Source organism: Homo sapiens, chromosome 8, assembly GCF_000001405.40.
Source record: "Homo sapiens chromosome 8, GRCh38.p14 Primary Assembly".
In the NCBI taxonomy this organism is placed as follows: Eukaryota; Metazoa; Chordata; class Mammalia; order Primates; family Hominidae; genus Homo; species Homo sapiens.
In genome coordinates, this window is record NC_000008.11 from 90,850,874 (window position 1) to 90,871,838 (window position 20,965).

General features: G+C 38.1%; 1 protein-coding gene and 2 long non-coding RNA genes across 4 annotated transcripts in view, besides 1 other annotated feature; 1 reads left to right on the forward strand and 2 right to left on the reverse strand.

Annotated features, from left to right (window-relative positions):
• The window catches only part of LOC105375635 (uncharacterized), a 52,864-nt gene extending 44,400 nt beyond the window's left edge, over window positions 1-8,464 (reverse strand). Inside the window, exon 1 of the long non-coding RNA NR_188048.1 lies at window positions 8,186-8,464. This is a non-coding gene — a long non-coding RNA (uncharacterized LOC105375635). The remainder of the gene's footprint in view (window positions 1-8,185) is intronic.
• The window catches only part of NECAB1 (N-terminal EF-hand calcium binding protein 1), a 167,619-nt gene that overhangs the window by 59,099 nt on the left and 87,555 nt on the right, over window positions 1-20,965 (forward strand). The gene's annotated exons all lie outside the window — the stretch shown is intronic.
• LOC105375634 (uncharacterized) overlaps window positions 1-20,965 on the reverse strand; it is a 109,088-nt gene that overhangs the window by 5,975 nt on the left and 82,148 nt on the right. The gene's annotated exons all lie outside the window — the stretch shown is intronic.
• Window positions 2,154-2,223: a silencer, noted in NCBI's record as "silent region_19353". NCBI's record gives its function as "represses an Ori minimal core promoter by ATAC-STARR-seq in GM12878 lymphoblastoid cells {active_cell/tissue: GM12878}" and the evidence as "EXISTENCE:reporter gene assay evidence [ECO:0000049][PMID:35858748]".

A 20,965-nucleotide genomic window follows, 5' to 3' on the forward strand; every position in this document is an offset into this window, starting at 1 on the left:
CCTTTCAACCATACCTGAGTTTATGCTAATAAGGTGAGTCTTGAAGGATGGGGGCTGGTTTGCCAGAGGAACCAACCAAGTGATTAGAGGATCGGAACTTTCAGCCCAAACTCTCAACCTCCAGGGAGGATAGAGGGGCTAGAGATTGACTCAGTCACCAAGGGTCAATGATTTACTCAACTGCCTATATAATGAGGCCTCCATGAAAACACTAAATGATGGGGTTAAGACAGCATCCAGGTTTGTGAACACATGCAGGTTCTGGGAAAGTGGTATACCCGAAGAGGGCATGGAAGCTCCATGCACCACTGCCCTCAATACCTTGTCTTGGGCATCTATTCCATTTGGCTGTTCCTGGGTTGTATCCTTTATAATAAACCAGTAATAGTAAGTAAAGTGTTTTCCTGAGTTCTGTGAATCATTCTAGCAAATTATCAAACCTGAGGAGGGAGTGCGGGATCCTCCGGACAGGACAGAAGTTGTGGGAAACCTGAGGACACTCTACCAGCAATTGGCATCTGCAGTGGGCTAGGGGCAGACTTGTGGACGAAGCCTATAACCTGTGGAGTTTGCCTAAACTCCCAGTATTAAGGATCATAATTGAATTGTAGGACACTCAATTGATATCCAGACTGTTGGAGAATTGCTTGATGTAAGGAAAAACCCCATACATTTGGTGTCATAAGTATTTTGTGGGTATAGAAAAAAAAGGGGGCATCTTTTATTTCCATTTTTAAATAGATTTTAGTTTTTAGAGCAGGTTTAGGTTCACAGCAAAATGGAGTGAAAGATACAGAGATTTCCCATATACCCCCTGCATCCACATATGCACATCCTGCCCCATTATTAACATCCCCATCAGAGAGTACTTTTGTCACAACTGATGAACTTACATTGACACATCATTATCTCCCCAAATCCAAAGTTTACATTAGAGCTTACTCTTCATGTTGTACACTCTATGGGTTTAGACAAATTTATAATAACATGTACCCATAATTAGAGTATCATAAAGAGTAATTTCACTGCCCTAAGTTCGTCTGTGGTCCACCTGTGCATCCCTCCCCACCCCCAACCCCATTTTGTTTTTAAGTGTTTCTTTACTTCCCCAGTACACAGGCTCCAATGTCACCTTCACTAAAATGAGTTAAAATGAATCAATATAATTTTGTTGTTGTTATTTTTAATTTTATTTAGAAAGTGGGTATTGTTTTTGAAGAGATGCATCAGTAGAAGCCTCTCCTCGATATGCTGCATGCTCACTCATTGGGATAAATACCTGATTTCACATTATATGAATGTCCATTAAGAAGGGTGCAAGCTAACATCTGCAGAATTCCTACTTTGTACAAAGTACTGTTCTAAACATTCTATACTGTCACCTCCTTTAAAATTACCACCACTCATCGAGGCCCTGAAAAGTTCAGTAACTTGCCCATTATCACATCACTTGTAAAGGATGGATCAGGGATCACACCAGGACATCATAGCTTCAAGGTTTGTATTTCTCCATCATAATATTTTGTACATACACACTGGTTGTACCAGTGATAGGGACAGGAGGCAGAGTAATTCTAGGCAGAAGAGGCAGGTCCCTGACAAAACCCCACCCTCAAGCCAAAGGCCTGAAACTGTGGCCCAAAATGAGAACCTACATCCTTGTTTTCCCATTCAAATGTTGCCTTTTCCTAAACCACCCATGGCCCACCCTGCCCTCCATCCTCTGCCTGTAAAGACCCCAGACTCAGCCAGCAGAGAGGAGAAGCGGTGGGATGTTGGGCTGGATATCAGAGAGAAGTGGCTTGACTTCAGAGGGACAGCTTGACAGTGTAACTTTGGAGAAGAATCTGGCCAAAGACAGTCAGACTTTGGGGAAAGATTATGTGTCTGCCCTGTCTCCTTTTCAACTCCCCTTCCCACTGAGAGCCACTTTCATCAGCAATAAAATCCCGTTCATTTACCATCCTTCAATTCATTCGTGCAACCTCATTTTTCCTGAACACTGGACAAGAGCTTGAGAGCCACAAGTGTGGATGCAAAAGGCTATCACACTGGCCCTTTGCCCTCGCTGATGGAGGGCAGCCACCTCATGCGAAAAGGCAGAGGACCCACTGAGCTGTTAACACTTAAGCTGTCCTTGGATGCCAGAGCTAAAAGAGCACTGTAACACACATTCTGGGGCTTCAGGGGTCAAAGGCAGCCCCCTTGAGGCTGCCATGGGGCCTGCATGGAGTTTGCTTCTGCTGGTGCGCAAAGCACTTGCCCTGGCTCCTGTAACCGCTCACCTGCATGCTGCCTCCTGTGAGGGGTGGAGTGCAGCGGGTCTGAGTGAGTGGAGGTAACTCCTGCCAGTGCAGAAGCAGCCAGCTGGTTCCAGCACTCGTGGACTCCAGTTCCTGCCTCTTTCTCTCACATGCTCTCTCCCACAAGGAGTTGAAAGCTGCGGGCTGGGTAAATGAGGCAACACTGCAGTGAGTCCCATGAATGGGACAGGAAAATGTCCTGCTTCAGCAGAAATAAGTGGAATGTTAGAAGGAGCATATTTTGAGGGTTTTACATGTTTTCCCACTCATCCTAAACTTGGTTACACCCATTTTAAATAGAAAAAAACTGAACTTGAGAATGATTGAGTAACTTGCTTAAATCTTGTTTTTTTCATTTATAGCAGCTCACTAATACTTCTTAGAGTATTTGTTTATTTATTAGTGAGCTCCATTAGCAGCTCACTAATACTTCTTAGAGTATTTGTTTGTTTATTTGGAGAGAATACAATATTAAAATCTATATTCAATTTTATCTTTTCAACTTCATCTTTATATAAAGACATTAAGAAACTAGTATTGTTGCCAAACAACAGGGGTTTGGTCAAGGTCCAGTTGCTTGCTGTGAAGAAAGCCAGTCATTGAGACGACAAATATTGCCAGGGAAGAAGGCTTTAAGATGGGTGGTATCAGCCAGGAGATGGGAGATAAGTCTCAAATCTGTCCCCCTAACCCACTAAAAATAGGGATTTATGTAGTGGGTAAGGAATGTAGCTACATAAGGGAAAACAGGAATTAGGGAGAGTAAGGAAAAGGAATTGGTTAACAGGAAGCAGATCGTTGGTTAGGCAATCATAGGGGATGAGGGGTTTAGTGTCTCACTGTCTAGATGCTATTATCTGGTGAGTTTCAGGTCCTTGATACTATCTGGGAGGCCTGAAGATTAGTTTCCTGACAAAGGAACTCAGATAAGACACATGTAAGTTTCAAGCTTTATGATGGGGAGAGTCAATTTCTATATTTATTCAAAAAATCTTGAACATTAGTTCTATTGGAAAATTGGGCTGGTTTTAGTCCCCCCTTTCTATTATTGGTTCATCAATCATGAGGAATCTTGGTGTTGATCTTTTGACTGCTTAATGCTGAGAAAGGGAGTGTTGGGATAATGAGGAATGAAAACGCTATGTCTGTAATTGAAGTACTCATGAGTACCTGGTCAGCATTGGGCTTGTTGGAGCACTGTGATCTGGGTACTCTCATTAACAGTTTTAGAACAACATTTTAAGCCACATTTAAATATAAGACTAAGCATGATGTGTAAAACCAAGATAATTAATAACGTAGATGACCCAACTTTAAAAATACCAAGGAATCCTGAAAACCTGTCCCCTAATCCAGGTCTGTTCTCCTTTACATGTTATAACTGGGAGACTTCAATATGTACTCCTACTTCAACTGATGTATTAATGTAGGTACAGCAAGATGAATTGGCAATTACATATACCCCTGCCTTGTTCAGTGAGCAAATACTCCAAAGCTATGTGGTTATCTAAAACTACTCTAGCCAAGGAGTCTAGAGACTTTTTTTGGGCAACAATAGCAGTCACTGTTTCACTTGCTATAATCCACAGGGTAATGGAGAGCTTTCTAAGTACATGTTAATGAGCTGCTACTCCCCACCATGGGAGTGTAACCAAAAAATATCTGGTTCTGTCAAGAATGCTCCCAGGCAAATACTCCTTGGGGACACCCTAATTGGGATCTCTCTCCAAGAGTCCTCTAGTTACCCTGGAGAATAATTTCAAAGAACTAGTCCAATGTCTGACCAAGCTCTCATTATCTACTGTAAAAGGGGTGACAGAGTATCCTAATAGACAGTGCCCTTTGTCTCCTTTCCTAGGCATCTATATGCCCAAGGCCTATTCTCTTGTTTGCAAACAAACATGTAGCCCTCAGGAGCACAGGTCACTGTATCTTGGGCAGAAGCAGTCATTCAGGCTATCTTTTCTAACCAGAGATCAGTTAGATTATTACCAAATCCAGACAAAGCCAAGCCTGCTCAAAAGTCTTCCTGATTCCTTATATCCTGATCAAATGGAGTTCTGTCTGGGTCACCATCAAAGAAAAAAAGTGCTTGACTTTTTATTTATTTATTTTAGGAAGAGTAAGGAATAGCCTTTCTGGGATGACAAATAGAAACAGGAGGTCTTCCTGGTCCCTAAAAGGGTCCATGTAAGGCATACTCATTACACTATTCTTTTAGGAGTCTTTGGATGTTCAAATGTGCAGATAGAGATATGCAAAAAGGCATGAACTGGTTGGATTAAGGAGTCATTATGGTCCAGAACAGATTGGAACTTTGGGTCACATATCCAACAGTGGGATAAGGTTGCTTATGAAGCAATAGCTTGTGAAATATGAATTAGTGAATTATCCTTCCATCTATAATCAGGAAGGATCTAGAGAACAATAACAGCCTGGAAAGCACATGTTCCTTTATGATTTCTTATGTAAGGTCTTTGGCTGGACTTTGAATATTAATTTAAAGTTGTAGGAGGGCTCACAATACCATGACTGTTTCCTCTGGAGGGATATTTGAGGGACTAGTTTTACCCAATTTTGGTGAATCCATGGCTTAACTTGTCTGATGAGTGGGTGGTCAGTTGTGGTCACAGTTGGTCTTCAGCCTGGTGGGATTTCCAGGTTTTCAGCAGGACTTGGTCCCTCAGTTTCAAATAGTAGAAAGGCACATTGGTAGGGACCTGGAGCCTATTGGAAGCAAACTTAGATGGACTACTTAATATATTTTCTATTTGTTTTATATATGTTTGGGGGTAGGTAAAATCTTCAAGTGATAGGGAGTCCGGGGGGTAAGAGAAATGGTTCCTGTTACTTAGGATGCACATTCTCCTGACCTTACTCCAAGCATAATAGAAACACAGTTACCACCCCTAGACTGCAGAGCTTGAGGAATCTTCTGGAATTAAATACAAAGTAAACATTTGGCAAAATCTAGACTAGTTTTGGAGACTCTGTTCAAGGTAACAGTTTCAGTCACTTGTTAACACATTTTCAAATTTTTTAAAGGGAGGAGGAATAACTGGTTTCCAATCTACTGACTTCATTGCCATAGTAACAAATGTATTGTTCATATAGGTACCAGAATGCATAGAAGAATTTTTCTTTTTTTAAAAAAAAGTGTATTTAATTTCTAAAAACTAAGTCTGAGTCTGAGAAATGATATCCCGAAGTCTAATCCAATCACCCTCAAAGCACCCCAGAGCTAGAAAGGATTTCAAAGGAGGATTAAAAACAAGATCAGCTTTAACATTAGGCAAAGATCCATGGGCAACCTTCTTTAAACAATAACAAAAAGAGCTTACTAAAGTTGATACTTAAATATCTGAAGTAATGGAATAGTTTATATAGTTCAATAGTAATGGAACAGAAATTGAATAATCTAAACATTTTAAATCCACTCATGAATTTTATTTGGAACGTGTTTTGGTCTGATCAATGCACATGAGTGTGTTATTGTGGAAATTCCTTTGAAAACAAAACTTTAAAAGAACTACAGGTCTATCCAGCATCCCTAAGTCTGCCAGTATCCTTACCTCTAGCCTATACTTTGACCCAGAGTGCTGACAAAGTGCAGCACTTGCTACCATGCACGTATCAAGGTAGCTTAGTAAAACTGCCTCCTAAAGATGATCACCTCCCTTGTAAGATGACCGATTTCCTCTGAACTAAGTAACGCGGCAACTTTTAGAATGAACAAAAGACTTAATGAAACAGAAAGTTGTCTAATCTCTAAAGGTCTTAAAAGTAGGACTTGCCATGACTAATTAAGTGCTGACAACAGAAGAAATTCCAACTCCAACAAAAGGAATGATACACTATTGTGAAAGCATTCCCTAGGGTAAGCACAAAATAAACTTTTTATCAGAAAATATTTCATAAATTTTTACTTTTTTTTCAGAGCAGGAGTGGAGGTTTATTTAAAAAGGCTTTAGAACAGGAAAGAAAGGAAGGTATACCTGGAAGAGACCCAAGCAGGTGACTTGAAGAACAAGTGCCTAAATTTCTATGTTTTTACTGTATGTTTGGGTAACATAAGGCATCTAAGAGGATTAAATAAATATTACTCCTATTTGGCACATGGATGCAAAGAATATTATGATACTATATATAATTATCTATCCCACTCCTACAGAAAACAATGTTCAGACACAGTGCGAAACAGCCAAGTTATATTTTAAGAACTAAAACAGATGCCACTTCTAATTCAAAACTAAGAAGAAAAACTGTATATTGTGGAACAAAGGATTTTCCCTTGTGAAATTAATTTTAGTGGCTAACCTCTCAAAAATTTGTAAATGTATGACTTTGTAAAATGCTTTACTCAATATACTTAACTAGTATATATATGCTTTTTCATGTGAAACACAGGAACATAATTTCTATCAGCAAAGTTAAAAATGTAATTAAAGAAAAAGAAATCAAATTTAACATAAAAGATAGGCAATAGAGAAATGTCATTTTAACCTTGGTACCAAGCTACAATTCTTCCTTGGTCAACCTCTCCTATATTATCCCAGATATTCAATTTATTTTCAATCTTTCATGAAATTGGACCTCTTAGTCATTTAAAGAGCAGGAGAATTTACAATAATTAGTGAAAATTATTCAATTCTCATACATTAGTTATTTGCATTTGTGGATATAAAGTGGTGACTCAGTACTTTATCAAAATATAGGTTTATGAAAATATTGGGAATATAAGATTGAAATTTAACAATTACATTTTTAAAACTAAACTAAGAATTTTTATTTTAAGCATGAAGCATAATTGTTATAGAAAGTCTTCTGAAACATCACTTGATTTTCAATAAAAACAGCTTCACACAATGCAGAAACTATAATGTATCATCCTGCAACAATATATTTACTTGTCAATCCTAATCTAAAATGTACTTAAACAACAATGAAAATCTCCTTTAATAAATCCATAAAGTCTTATTTTTAACCACTACTGCTCTGTAGCAATAATTGAAGTCCCAATATGAGCACTGAGAATGTGATAATAAAATATCAAAGGCTGTATCAATCTTTAAATAAAGACACTGAAGCCTGTTGCCAACTGGCATCAGGTGTAGTAAGTACATCAGAGAAATGTGAGTAATCCAAGGAAGTCCCCTGAAATCAGCAGTACCATCTGCCACAATTTAAAACATTAAGTGTAAAACTCTGTTCTAATTATTTTATAGAAGTTCTATTTCACACTTAATATTGTTAACATATTTGCAAACTTATAAAATTCTCTATATAAAGGGTTTTGAACTTCTTCAGCTAAACACTTCCTCATTGCCAGAAAAACATTTCTAATGAAAGAAAGAGAGTATATCCATGAATATCTGAGACTGAAGAATAAATTACTTCTTATGGTCATAGCCAATTACAATACAAGAAAAAAAAATTCACAATTTGAAGAAAAAAAAAAAACAGCAAATGTAATTCCTCAGAAAGACCCCTGGAAGGGCCAAACTTCTCTAGATTCCGAAGAATATTGGGGCCAAACAGCATTACAAAAGAATATCATTTTCTTTTCATTCCATTGGCTCGTAACTATATTCAGACCAGTTTTGAAGAATGCACCCAAGTGGAGGCATTCCTAGATCAAATCCTGTGTTCCCTTGATCACATTGACACACACACACATAAGCAAATAAACAATTATCAAAATACAATCTAACTGCAGCAGTGACTAACAAGCCACGAGAGTTCAAACTCAAACAGTTGGGGTGTTTTTTACTCTCATGCCAGTCAATTGGGCTTTTCCAACCTGCAAAAAAATGGAAATTCCTTTGGAATTCCCCAAATTGAGGAGTAGCTCCCACTGTCTAGTACCCATAAAAGACACTCACCTTGATGGATACAGATGTCAAATTTCAAAGCCTGTCCTTCATAAGTAATCAAGAATATGGTTGGGGCCAGCAGCAGTGAGGGAAGAGAGAGAAACAAAAACCCGCCTCTGGATGAATATAGCTGGGCAGCTGCTGGGAGGGTTTCCAGATCTCTCTAGCCTGTGGCCACTGAGCCACAAGCACTGCAATCCAAGTCACAGCACCAGAATTTTATTGCTGAATGCCTGGGTGTTGGCCAAGCTGTGGTTTCTCACTGTATCGAAAGCTATCCATTGAAACAACGAGTATTGCTAGGGAAGAAGGTTTTAATGTGGATGATGTCAGCCAGGAGATGGGAGATAAGTCTCAAATCCACCTGACTAAAATTAGAGTTTTGTAGAGTGGGGAAAGAATGTAACTATGTGTGCCAAAACAGGAATTAGGGAGGGATAAGGAAGAGGAGTAGGTCAACAAGAAGCAAGTGGTTGGTTAGTCAGTTATGATGGTTGAGGGGTCTGCTGTCTCACCATCTGGATGCAGGGATCTGGTGAATTTCAGTCCCTTGATGCTATCTGAGAGGACTGATAGTTGGTTTTCTGACAAAGGAACTCAGGTAAGACAAATGTAAGTTTCAAGCTTTATTATTGGGAGGGCCAATTTCTATATTTATCCAAAAAATCGTAAACATTAGTTGTGTGGGAAAATTGAGCTGGTTTCAGCACTACTCAGCCAATTGAAACAGAGCTCACCATTTTTTCTAATGTAATAAATATATATTTAATATATCTTTTTTTACTTTTTCAAATTTACAGTAATCCTAAAATAAAGATAGTATTATCAGAAGCTGAGAAAAACATAGTTACACATAGATTATTGCTGCACCAAAATGTTTACAGGGAAATATTCTCTCCTGAAGCCAAACTCCCACAGCAACTTTACAAGTGAGCCTCAGAGCAAGAAAATAACTTGGTTAAGACCATGCAGCTAGAGGACAAGAGTTGGGATTCAAACCTGATAAATCTGACTTTGAAAATTTCACTACCGGCCACCCACCAATTGTTCTCAACTTTTCGTGCATGTTAAAATAATCTGGGACCTTAAAAAATATCACTAGGCCAAGGCTGTACCCAGAAACAATTAAATGAGAATTCTCAGGAGGGTCATGGCCCTGGCATCAGTGTTTTTCTGTTTCTTTTTTTTCTTTTTTTTTTTTTTTTAACGTTCTAGGTGATTCTAATGGGCAGCCAGTTTTGAGGATCACTGCACAATGACTCATCGCTATTCCTGGTACACTCCTAACTCCTAGAAGGCAACTGTATTTAAGAAGTATTTATAGAGCTCTAAAAATGATGCCAATACATTTAAAAACTTATTATCCATGTCTTCAAGAACTTACTAAACTAGTATGAAGATAACAGATGTATTTATCAGCTAAATAACAATACAAGGTTGTGCTGTGTTGGTTGATTTGGAGACAAATGCTGTAGAACCTGAGGGTTTCAAGGATAGATTTAGGACATCCTCAGATCACCAAGCTAGTTTTTCTGCGTAAGTATATATTCAGTTCCAAGACTGATTGATGGATAGATGAATAAAAAGATTATTCATAGCTTTTGTCAGATTCTCAGTATCAACATTGATGCAGAAAAGGCTAAGAATTACTGCTGAGGGTTCAGAAGAGGGAAAGCTGCAAATGATGCAGTGGTCAGAGAGATAATTGCAAAGAAGATAGAACACATGCAGGGCATTGAAGGAACCCAATATGATGATATGAGAGGAAGGAAGGAAGATCCAGAGTGGAGCAGGAACAAAGCTATGAAGGCAAAAATATTCCCCCTAGTTTTAGGGTATTGTGAGGGAAGGTTAGCCTTGAGGCTCCTTGGGAAATTCGTAAGTTAAATGTCAGGGGTGATATTTTCTTCCTTCTAGATCTCTCACTAATTAATAGATTGCTTTTATAAGACTGTGAGTGAAAGGCTCAGTGCTCTAAGTAGATGCTCTAAGAAGACAGAAGACACTTTTGCAGATTGCTTTATTTTCTATTCAATATAACATTCGGTAACAGTCAAGTATCACCTCCAGTGGCTCCTCTGATTTCTGTGATGAGGCCTTTATTACAATTGTTTCCATGTCCAAGGAGAATTAAAGGCATCCTCTACAATGTCTCCCTTGTCCATCTTAGGAGGGCCAGCCAAGGAGAGGTTGACCCACAGGCAAGCTCTGTAAATAGGGACTTCTGTCTCTCAAGGTAACCTGATGTGACTGGCAGGGATGACACATAATTCCACATTTCCCTTCCTCTTTTGAGCTTCTTTCAAAGAAGCATGCATGGAAAATTTCCCTGACATAGGGCAAGATATAAATATTAAAGAGCATCTCATGCATTTATTATCTTTACCTTGTCATATATATAAATTATCACGAGAAATGGAATAGGCTAGGCTTTGCAACACCGTCCTCTCCTGATGAAAAGTAATCAATTCCATATGGTTAAGAGTAAAGGAAATGCTGTCACATGGCAAATGACCAGGAGTCTCTTACCCCTTTGGTCTGCTGAAGCATAATTATCTAAGTGTCTCTTGGAATAAGAGCTACCACTTTAGTGGATACTAATTATGTATTAAGCACTGGGCTAAAGACATTGAATATATTAGGTTATTCGATCTTCACAAACAATGTTGTGAAAAAAATATTATTAACCTTAATTTCTACTTGAGGGAATTCTGGCTTAGAAATGTAAGTAACCTGCCTAAGATCACACATCTGGTAAATGGGAGAGCCAGGGCAAACCCAGATCTCTTGATTCTCTGCCGCTACAGGATACAGCCTTCTGGTACAGATTTAAGTCCAAGTTTGAAACATGATAGTAATACCTTGAGAATAAGATGTCATCTAATAGCGATGAATGGAGGATGTATTGGAGAGGGAATTGCCTGGGCTTAGGAGGAATAGTTAGGAACACACTAATACAGTACTCTTTTCCGTATCAGATACTTTTCAATTAGTTTGGAAGTGACCTGTTTTAACAGTTATATTCATTCAATAGAGATTCTATAAATTATGGTAGAAAACAATGTAGCTATTAAAAACAATGAAGCAATACTCTATATGGATAAAGACAGATGTCTGAGATATGTTTTCAAGTAAATCAAACAAAATATAGAATATCCTGTACAGTTTTCTACTTTCTGATGAAACGGATATATGCATAAATTCGTTAGGAAATATAAAAATATTCATGGAAAGACACACATGAAACTGGAAATAATAGCTGTCCTTGTGTGGCTAGGTAATGAAGTGGGAGGGAAACAGAAGTTTCATTGGAGATACCTTTTTACCTTTTGGATGTTGGGCAGTGAGCATGTATTACCCATTTAAACACAGAGGTATTCTACCTGTATGATGACACAGATGGAGTTCTCAATGGCAAGGTTGATATTTGAAATAAACTTGCAAATTTTAGTTTTAGAAACCTTAGTAAAATGAGGTATTTTATGAAGCAAACCAATGACATAAGTTCATTTATTGGTCCTGAAGGGACATATGCAGGCTATTGAAGGAATATATTGTTCAGCATATGTACACAGACTTTTGTACTTGTTTATGTTTGAATTAATATGTTTTTTCTTTGAGACTGAATTTTTAAAATATAAGATCACTAACAAGCCATATTTTGAGGGGATAAATTAATAAGTAGATTGGAAGAAATTCTATTGAATGTTGGAAATATAAAGTATATGAAAAGTCTAAAATGTTTTTACAAAGTATTTCCCTTATTTTCCCATCTCCAACTCACATACAAAGTTCAGAATACCAGAAAACTCGCTATGAGTACATGAGAAAACTGAAATAGATCCCAAGTGTTTTGTTCCCACACAATAATCTTCCTTCTCTTTCACTTATAATTAACATTTTACATTTTTAAACTTTATATATTGCTTAATTTTTGCAAAATCTTCCCCTTCCAGTAACATCAGTATATGTAAACCCCAGAAAAATCGATTGTCCCCCTTTGTCCATCTCAAGCGCTTGAATGGATTTTGGTGAAAACCCAATACTGATTTGAAAGAAGAAGAATAATAAAAAAAAGAACGTACTTTTCACTCCCAATCTTTCTCTGCTATATTGAGCAATTTTCTGGTATGTTTCTACTTGCCTTTCTTATACTGTCTGCCTGGTGACAAAGACTGATTTCTCAAAAGCAAACCAATATTTGAAATAAGCCCACAACATTCGGTTTTAGAATACTAGTAGAAAGATCAAGCATGCATTTTATGAGGCATGCCAGGTTCAGAATTATGCAAAACAATTTTTCATTGCATAAAAATAAAAGTATAAACATGCCCTAAACCCATCATTTTTCCTATTCTCTAAAGTAACATTCTTATTTCTCTGAGTTCTTTTCAATTTTTCAAAAGATTAAGACATTCTTAGTCATACCAAGCTTTCTTAAGTTAGGACAATTTTCTGATGCTTTTGTATACTTACAAAAATATGTGCATGAGTTTTCTGAAATTTAAACCCACTTATTTGGTGGAACCCCCTTATTAGCAAAAACAATTTATATATGCCAAAACAAGCCATTTTATATAGAAATTCCACTAAGTAATAAGGAGATGAGAGAGTGTTATTATATTTAATACTTTCTTTACATTATTTCCTAAGTTTTAAAATCTAGAATTATTTCTTTTTTTTAGTTAAAATTGGGCTAAATTGGATTTTCTAAATTCCAGTTATTTTAAGAGATCAGACAATGGAAACTACTTACTAATGGCAGAACAAGAAGCAGTTCTACCAGAAATAGAAGCTAGTTTTTATTCCATATTGTGCTAATGTTTCTGACACAACCCACATTTCTTGGAAATAAATTCTGAAAATTAAAACAGAAGTATTAGAACCCATTTGAACTGTAGCAGCTATTTATATTAGTGTGACTCAAAGTGCGGGTCACAGACTGATGCTGGTCCTCAAAGTGTTACTTGTTCATATTGAGATAGGAAGAAAACTTGAGTTGTTTAGAAACGTTTATAGCAATTTGATATTGCTACAACATCCAAGCACACAATTTAGTAATTAGTTTTTATACTTTTCGAAAAAATGTCAATCTGGCAGGAATTGGAAATGTAAAAATCTTATTCTTTACCACAGAGAGTCTGAGAAGCACTGCTCTGGAGAACATTTGTGAGACTCTGGAAGAGTTTCAGGTAGAGAAGGAAATGGATAAGAAACAACTCTGGTGGAAAAAAAAAACGAGGAAGGAAGGGAGGAAGGAAGCAAAGGTGGAAGGAAGGAAACAAGGAAGAGAGGGAGGGAGGGGGAGGGAGTGGGGGGAAGGATGGAGGGAGGGAGGGACTTAAACTACTCAGCAACAAACACAAATGAACACAGTAGAAGACTGGAAATGTATGTCCCATGTGAGGGAAAGATTAATTTTCCCCTTCAAGTGTTCTCATTGATTGTGACTTCTCTGTTTAAGTCAGCCTCTTTCCAGCCTCAGGTGACAGAACCCAACTCAACACAGCGTAAACAGAATGAGATAACCCATTGACTTGCATAAGTGGAGACTCTCGGTATAAAGCTTATCACAGGGATTCTAAAGATTTGGGGTCATTATTATTATTTATTCATTTATGCTGTCCCACTCCTTCTCCTACCCCTCTCTCCCATCATTTCTCTGTCAGGATTGTCCTATACTGTTTTACTGTAGATGGGATTCTACCATGTAGTGGGGAAGAGGGGATAGCTTTTGATGGCGCATGGCTTATGTCATCTTACCTTAGCCACTTCAGAGGTAAGGGGGAGCCTAAGAGAGCAGACATAAAATACCCAAGGAGTATTCTAACGGCCCCACTTATTCAGTGTGCTCAATTTTGTACCATTTCTCACAGCCAAGGAGAGAGGAGAATACATCTATGCACATGTCTGTGGCCAGGGTGGGTTAGACTGGGGTGGGGCGCAAATGGAGAACTATGATCAACAGCCCCACTGGAAGCACATTGTTAAGGGCAAGTTCCCCAGTGATAGGGAGATGATGTTATAGAAGAATGGAAGAAGGGCGGAGCAGAACAAGCATGGAATCCAACAAATATGAGAAGTAGCAGGTGGTAGAAGACATAAGAAAAAATTCAATCAGGAAAATGAAAAGGGAAGAAGTGCTCATCCCCAGCAACTTGAGAAAAATAAGATGATATGTTTTTCCAATTCCGTTTTCTCTCTCATACATGAGGTACTGTGTTTATATATGAAAATAGTCTGACCCTAATTTGCCCCAGAATTAGAGAGGTTCAGAGTCTTGCTTATGGGACCTCCTATAGACTGGACTCCTATAGACTCCTGATAGAGGGGTGTGTGATGATCACTATACCCTCTGTAAGACAGACTTCAAGCCAACTGGGTGCCAAATGCTCTCTGATACAAGTCTTCATAGCCCTCTATATATTTAGGCTCTGACCCACTCAGGGTTCTAGGAATAATTGTGGTCTTAAGCAGAAGGGATTTGAAGAGCACTATGTTGACAGCCTTACCTTATGTATCATCTTGCTTCTGACAACTGAGTATTTATCTTGATTATAGGAACCAGTCTCCACTTCTACCCTGGTATGGCTTTCTCAGCTCACTGCACAGTTCAAGCCCCTATTTAATAACCCATACAATATCCTTGTTCCTCTAGAAGCAAGGCCTGTGTTTGTGCTAGGCCCTAGTGTTCAGATATGGGCTCAGTACTCTGGTGACTGAAACAATTGGCCCCTGCCTATTGGGCTATCAGAATAACATCTGTTCCTGATATCCCTTTGGTTGCATCTATTATGTCACCACATTCTTCTAGGTTAAATTCACCCAGTTCATAGATCTCAACTCAGTTTAGTTGGTATCTGCAGCACCTGATCTATTTCAGGAGGCACATCTATTTCTAGGTTAGTGTTTCCTACAGTCTTTACTGTCCCTTTGCTGTTAACCTGATTTTTATATGACCAATTACAAATATAATTCATGGAATTAAGAACAACTCAAAAATATTTGCAAGGTCAGATATTTGATCATTCTTCTAATCTCCCAATTCTGCATCTGTTGATTTCCATTGGTGCCATTCTGTTAGTTAGTGTGCCAGAACCAGCTCAACACATTTGCCCTGTTGATAATGGAAACATAATCTGCTCAAATTATCTTTATGAATTGAGAGATTATAATATTACTTTGTAAAATGGAAAACACAATGATGGCTGAGCATATTTGTTACTTGCTTAGTCTGCCAATAAACCAATGGGTGCATCTACTTCCATCAGAGTAGCTCAGCATATTGCTTATTGGGTCAGATTCTCCTGCCTCAAATACTGTTGCAAATGTCTTTGTAAGCCCCAATTAACACTTTTAGGCTATTAAGGGGTATAGCAGTGTTTAGCAGACTATTTTGCTGACTGAAAAATATTCTTCTGCACTGGTAATATTCAGACTGATGGGTGAAGAAGAGAAAACTCAGTAAAACATGAGTTAGGACTCAGAATTTAAAGATTCATAATTAGGTTCACAGTGTATGGAAATTTTAGTTTTGAAGCAAAGGAAGCTAAAAATAAACTTAAATATAATCAGGAAAAGCAAAGGAGGAGTTTAAAAGTCACAATCCTTTGTTCTTATTTATAAATTGAAGTGATACTGGTCATTAGAGAAATACAAATCAACGCCAGTTAGAATGGCAATCATTAAACAGTCAGGAAACAGAAGATGCTGGAGAGGATTTGGAGAAATAGGAACACTTTTACACTGTCGGTGGGAATGTAAATTAGTTCAACCATTGTGGAAGACAGTGTGCGATTCCTCAAGGATCTAGAACCAGAAATATCATTTGACCCAGCAATCTGATTACTGGGTATATACCGAAAGGATTGTAAATCATTCTACTATAAAGATACGTGCACATGTATGTTTATTGCAACACTGTTCACAATAGCAAAGACTTGGAACCAACCCAAATGCCCATCAATAATAGACTGGATAAAGAAAACGTGGCACATCTACTAGAATTCATCCATGTAAGCCTTCTGCAACAGTGTTTTGCTACCCACTACTAACAATGTAGCACAGAAACAGCTGAATAAAGGAATATGTGAAGCCACAAACACTATAGTATTTTACAAACCTTGTCTCTTATTAAGGAACAAGTAGAACTAATGTCATGCAGATTATTCTAAACTGCTATGTTGTATGATATATTCCAAGTAATTCCATTTTCAATAATGGATTAGGGCTGTTTATTCTTTTGGAAATTCAAAATAAATCTCATTATGAAGCTGCAAACCATTCTGAGGAAAACAAATATAAAAACAAGATGAACTTTTATGTCCTTTTCAAGTCTGAACTGCTATGAAAACACTACGATTAGGAAATGACATGTTTTAATGACCAAAATGTTTTCAATGATGCTATTAAAAATTTCTAAGCTATCTAATCTGAATCTAATACATTTTCAAGTTTTGTTGGTTTTTACCTCAGAATCCTTTACATCTATCTATTCATTTCTATCTATCATTCCGAGACTTCTAAACTGTTACTGATCAAACTCCCTTATTAGGTATTGCTTTTTAGCTTGCAGTCGAGATATAGGTAAATAGATTTATTTGTTTATCAATTATACAAATGCACCACTGTATTAACATTTATACATTGTAAAATTATACAATGATAAATGCAAAACGTTTAAAAGTAAATATAAATACAAATAGAAGTTCAAATATTTCTTCTTGCCCATTCAGTGGCTGGCCTTGTATGCCACTTGGGTTATATTCCCCACTCTGAGAACTGGCCTGGACTGTAACTTGCAAACTGTTCTCTTGCCCCCTTTCTCACCCTTTTTCTGTCTGATATGGTTTGGCTCTATGTCCCCACTCAAATCTCATGTTGAATTATAATCCCCAATGTTGGGAGAGAAACCTGGGGAGAGGTGATTGGATCATGGGGGTGGATTTCCCCCTTGCTGTTCTTGTGATTGTGAGTGAGTTTTCATAAGATCTGGTTGTTTGAAATTGTGTAGCACTTCCCCCTTCACTCTCTCTCTTTCTCCTGCTCCTGCCATATAAGATGTGTTTGCTTCCTGTTTCCCTTCTACCATAATTGTAAGTTTCCTGGGGCCTCTCCAGCCATGCATCCTGTATAGCCTGCAAAACCTTGAGTCAATTAAATCTGTTTTCTTTATAAATTATGCAGTCTCAGGTAGTTCTTTATAGCAATCCCAGAATGGATCAATACTGAAAATTGGTAATAGAGAAGTGGGACATTGCTATAAAGATAACTGAAAATGTGGAAGCAACTTTGGAGCTGAGTAACGGGCAGAGGTTGGAACTGTTTGGAGGGCTCAGAAGAAGACAGGAAGATGAGGGAAAGTGGGACTTGTTAAATGGTTGTTACCAAAATGTCCATAGTGATATGGGCAGTGAAGTCCAGTCTGAGGTGGTTTCAGATGGAGATGGGAACTGGATAAAGGTCATTCTCACTATACTTTAGCCAAGTTACTGACAGCATTGTGCCCCTGTTCTAAGGATCTGTGGAACTTTGAATTTGAGAGAGATGATTTGGGATATCTGGCGGAAGAAATTTCTAAGCAGCAAAGCATTCAAGATGTGGCCTGGTTGCTTCGAACAGCATATGCTCATATATGTGAACAAAGAGATTATCTGAAACTGAAACTTATATTTAAAAGGGAAGCAGAGCATAAAAGTTTAGAAAATTCTCAGCCCATCCATGTGGTAGAAAAGAAAAACCCATTTTCTGGAGAGGAATTCAACACTGCAGGAATTTGCATAAGTATAGAGGAGCTGAATGTTAATAGGTAACACAATGGGGAAAATGTCTCCAGGGTATTTCAGAGACCTTTGTGGCAGCCCCTCCCATCATAGGCCTGGAGGCCTAGGAGGGAAAAATCATTTCATGGACAAGGCCTAGGGCCCTGCTGCTCTGTGCAGCCTCAGGACATGGAGCCCTGCATCTTGGCCGCAGCTGCTCCAGCTCCAGCCACGGCTAAAAGGGACAAAGGTACAGCTCTTGTTGTTACTTCAGAGGGTGCAAGCCCTAAGCCTTTGCAACTTCCACATGGTGTTGAGCCTACAGGTGTGCAGAAGGCAAGAGCTGAGGGTTGGGAGCTTCTGCCTAGATTTCAGAGGATGAATGGAAATGCCTGGATATCCACTCAGAAGTCTGCTGCAGGGGTAGAACCCTCATGGAGAATCTCTACTAGGGCAGAGCAGAGAGGAAATGTGTGGTTGGAGCCTCCACATAGAGTCCCCACTGGGGCACTGCCTACTAGAGTTGTGAGAAGAGGGCCATCATCGTCCAGACCCCAGAATGGTAAATCCACTGACGAGTTTCACTGTGTAACTGGAAAAGCCACAAGTACTCAATGTCAGCCCATGAAAGCAGCTACAGGGGCTGGACCCTGCAGAACCACAGGGCTGAAGCTGTCCAAGGCCTTGGGAGGCCACCCCTCACATCAGTGTGGCCTGGATGTGAGATATGGATTCAAAGGAGATTATTTGGGAGCTTTAAGATTTAATAACTGCCCTGCTGAAGTTCAAACTTGCGTGGGACCTGTAGCCCTTTTTGTGTTGGCCGATTTCTCCTTTTTGGAATAGGAGTATTTAGCCAGTGCCTGTACCCCCATTGTATCTTGGAAGTAAGTAATTTGTTTTTGATTTTACAGGCTCAGAGGTGGAAGGGACTTGCCTTGTCTCAGATGAGACTTTGGACTTGGACATTTGAGTTAACACTGAAATGAGTTAAGACTTGGGGGACTGTTAGAAGGGATGATAGAATTTTGCAATGTGAGAAGGACATGAGATTTGGGAGGCATAGGGGAGGAATGATATGGTTTGGCTTTCTGTCTCCACCCAAATCTCATGTTGAATTTCTAATCCCCAGTGTTGGGGAGGTACCTGGTGGGACGTGATTGGGTCATGGGGGCTTATTTCCTTCTTGCTGTTCTTGTGATAGTGAGTAAGGTCTCACAAGATCTGGTTCTTTGAAAGTGTGTAGCACTTCCCTCTTCACTCTCTCTCTCTTCCTCCTGCTCCCACCATGTAAGAGGTGTTCACTTCCCCTTTGCCTTCTGCCACGATTGTAAGTTTCCTGAGTCCTCCCCAGCCATGCTTCCTGACAGTCTGTGGAATCATGAACCGATTAAACCTCTTGTCTTTGTAAATTACCCAGTCTCAGGTAGTTCTTTATAGCAATGTGAGAACAGACTAATACATTGTCCAACCTCAACCCATCTGTCAGGGGCCTGTTTAAAGTGCAAATATGACCATGTTATTCACCATTTAAAAAGTATTCTATAATTCCAAATTGACAGAAAGGTAAAGTAGAAACTTCTTAGGTTATCATATAAGGCCTTTTATTATCTAGTTCCATTCTCTCATTATTGATCTATGTTCTAACTAAAAAAACTACTCGGTTTTCTGAAATTGAATGCTCTTCATACTTTCAATTTTTATTACAGTGTTTCTTTTAACCAGAATGTGTTTCCTTTGGCTGCCTCCTCTACTACTATTTAGAGATTTAGCTCAACAATTTAACATTTGAGATTTAGCTTGACAATTTTATCTTCTATGATATATTTCCGGACACCTTTTGCCAATTCTCTATTTCCCTCGTAACAACTATTTTATTGCATTAAAATTGTTTATGTGCTGTGTGAGTCTACCTCTAAGTTGAGATTCTAGAGACAAGTAATCTGACAGAGTCATGTTTGTAGATGTTGCAACCTCATACATCTGTGGCAGTTGGAATAATGCCTGGCACATAGCAATAAATGTTTGTGGAATTAATGAATGAATGGGAGTGCATACCAAAATTACTGGAGAACACTTAACATATTCTACCTGGTGGCAAATATTACTTTGCAAAAATATTCATTTAGTTATGAAGATATAATTTATCTAAGATCAAGTATTTAGTGTCTAGAATGAAATACTGAGTTTAAAATAACTTTTAAAAATGAGTGACAGAGTTCATAAAAGTACCCAATGTTTGGAATGTTTATACCAATGCCTCTCCTGGTTAGCAAACCTGGCTACTAATTAAAGGACAACTGGATTAGGAAGAATATTTACATTGAGCATTGACATGTGACAACTATATAAAGTCAAGATTTTCAGTTAACTAATTTTCCATTGCTCTTTAATAGCCTTCAGCATCTTTACAAGGTTGAGTTCTATTTCTATTTCATTTAAACTTTCTAAAACTTATGAATTACTGTTAAATTTTTAGGAAATTCCCATTCAGCATTTGCTAATATGATCATTTTTCTCCTTTAAGTTATGGTGTAATAAGTTATAATGATTTATTACCTGATATTGAACCATCTGCATTCCTGTACCATACCTTTCTTGGTAAAGGACATTATTCTTCTGATAGTCATGTATTATATTTGCTAATATTTCATCTTGATGTTTGGCATTTGCCTTCATAAGAGTAATAGGTTTATATTGTTGATGAGTAATTTGATTTCTTATTTTGTTTTAGAAATCATATGAAATAAGCATTGAATCAAACTTACCTCAAAGGCTGAATTTAGGAAGGAAATTCTAGCATTTCTATCAAGTCAGGACTTATGATAGCTAACATTCATCAAGTGCTTATTTTGTGCCAATTACAGTTCAGTGCTTTATGTATTAATTCATTTAAACCCTACAGCATCCCATGAACCAGAAATTTTTATTACTATCCTCATCTTGGGTCAGACGAATTGAGACACAGAGATGTAAAGTAGCCAGAGTCATATAGAAGTTAAATTGCAGAGTCAGGATTTGAACTCAG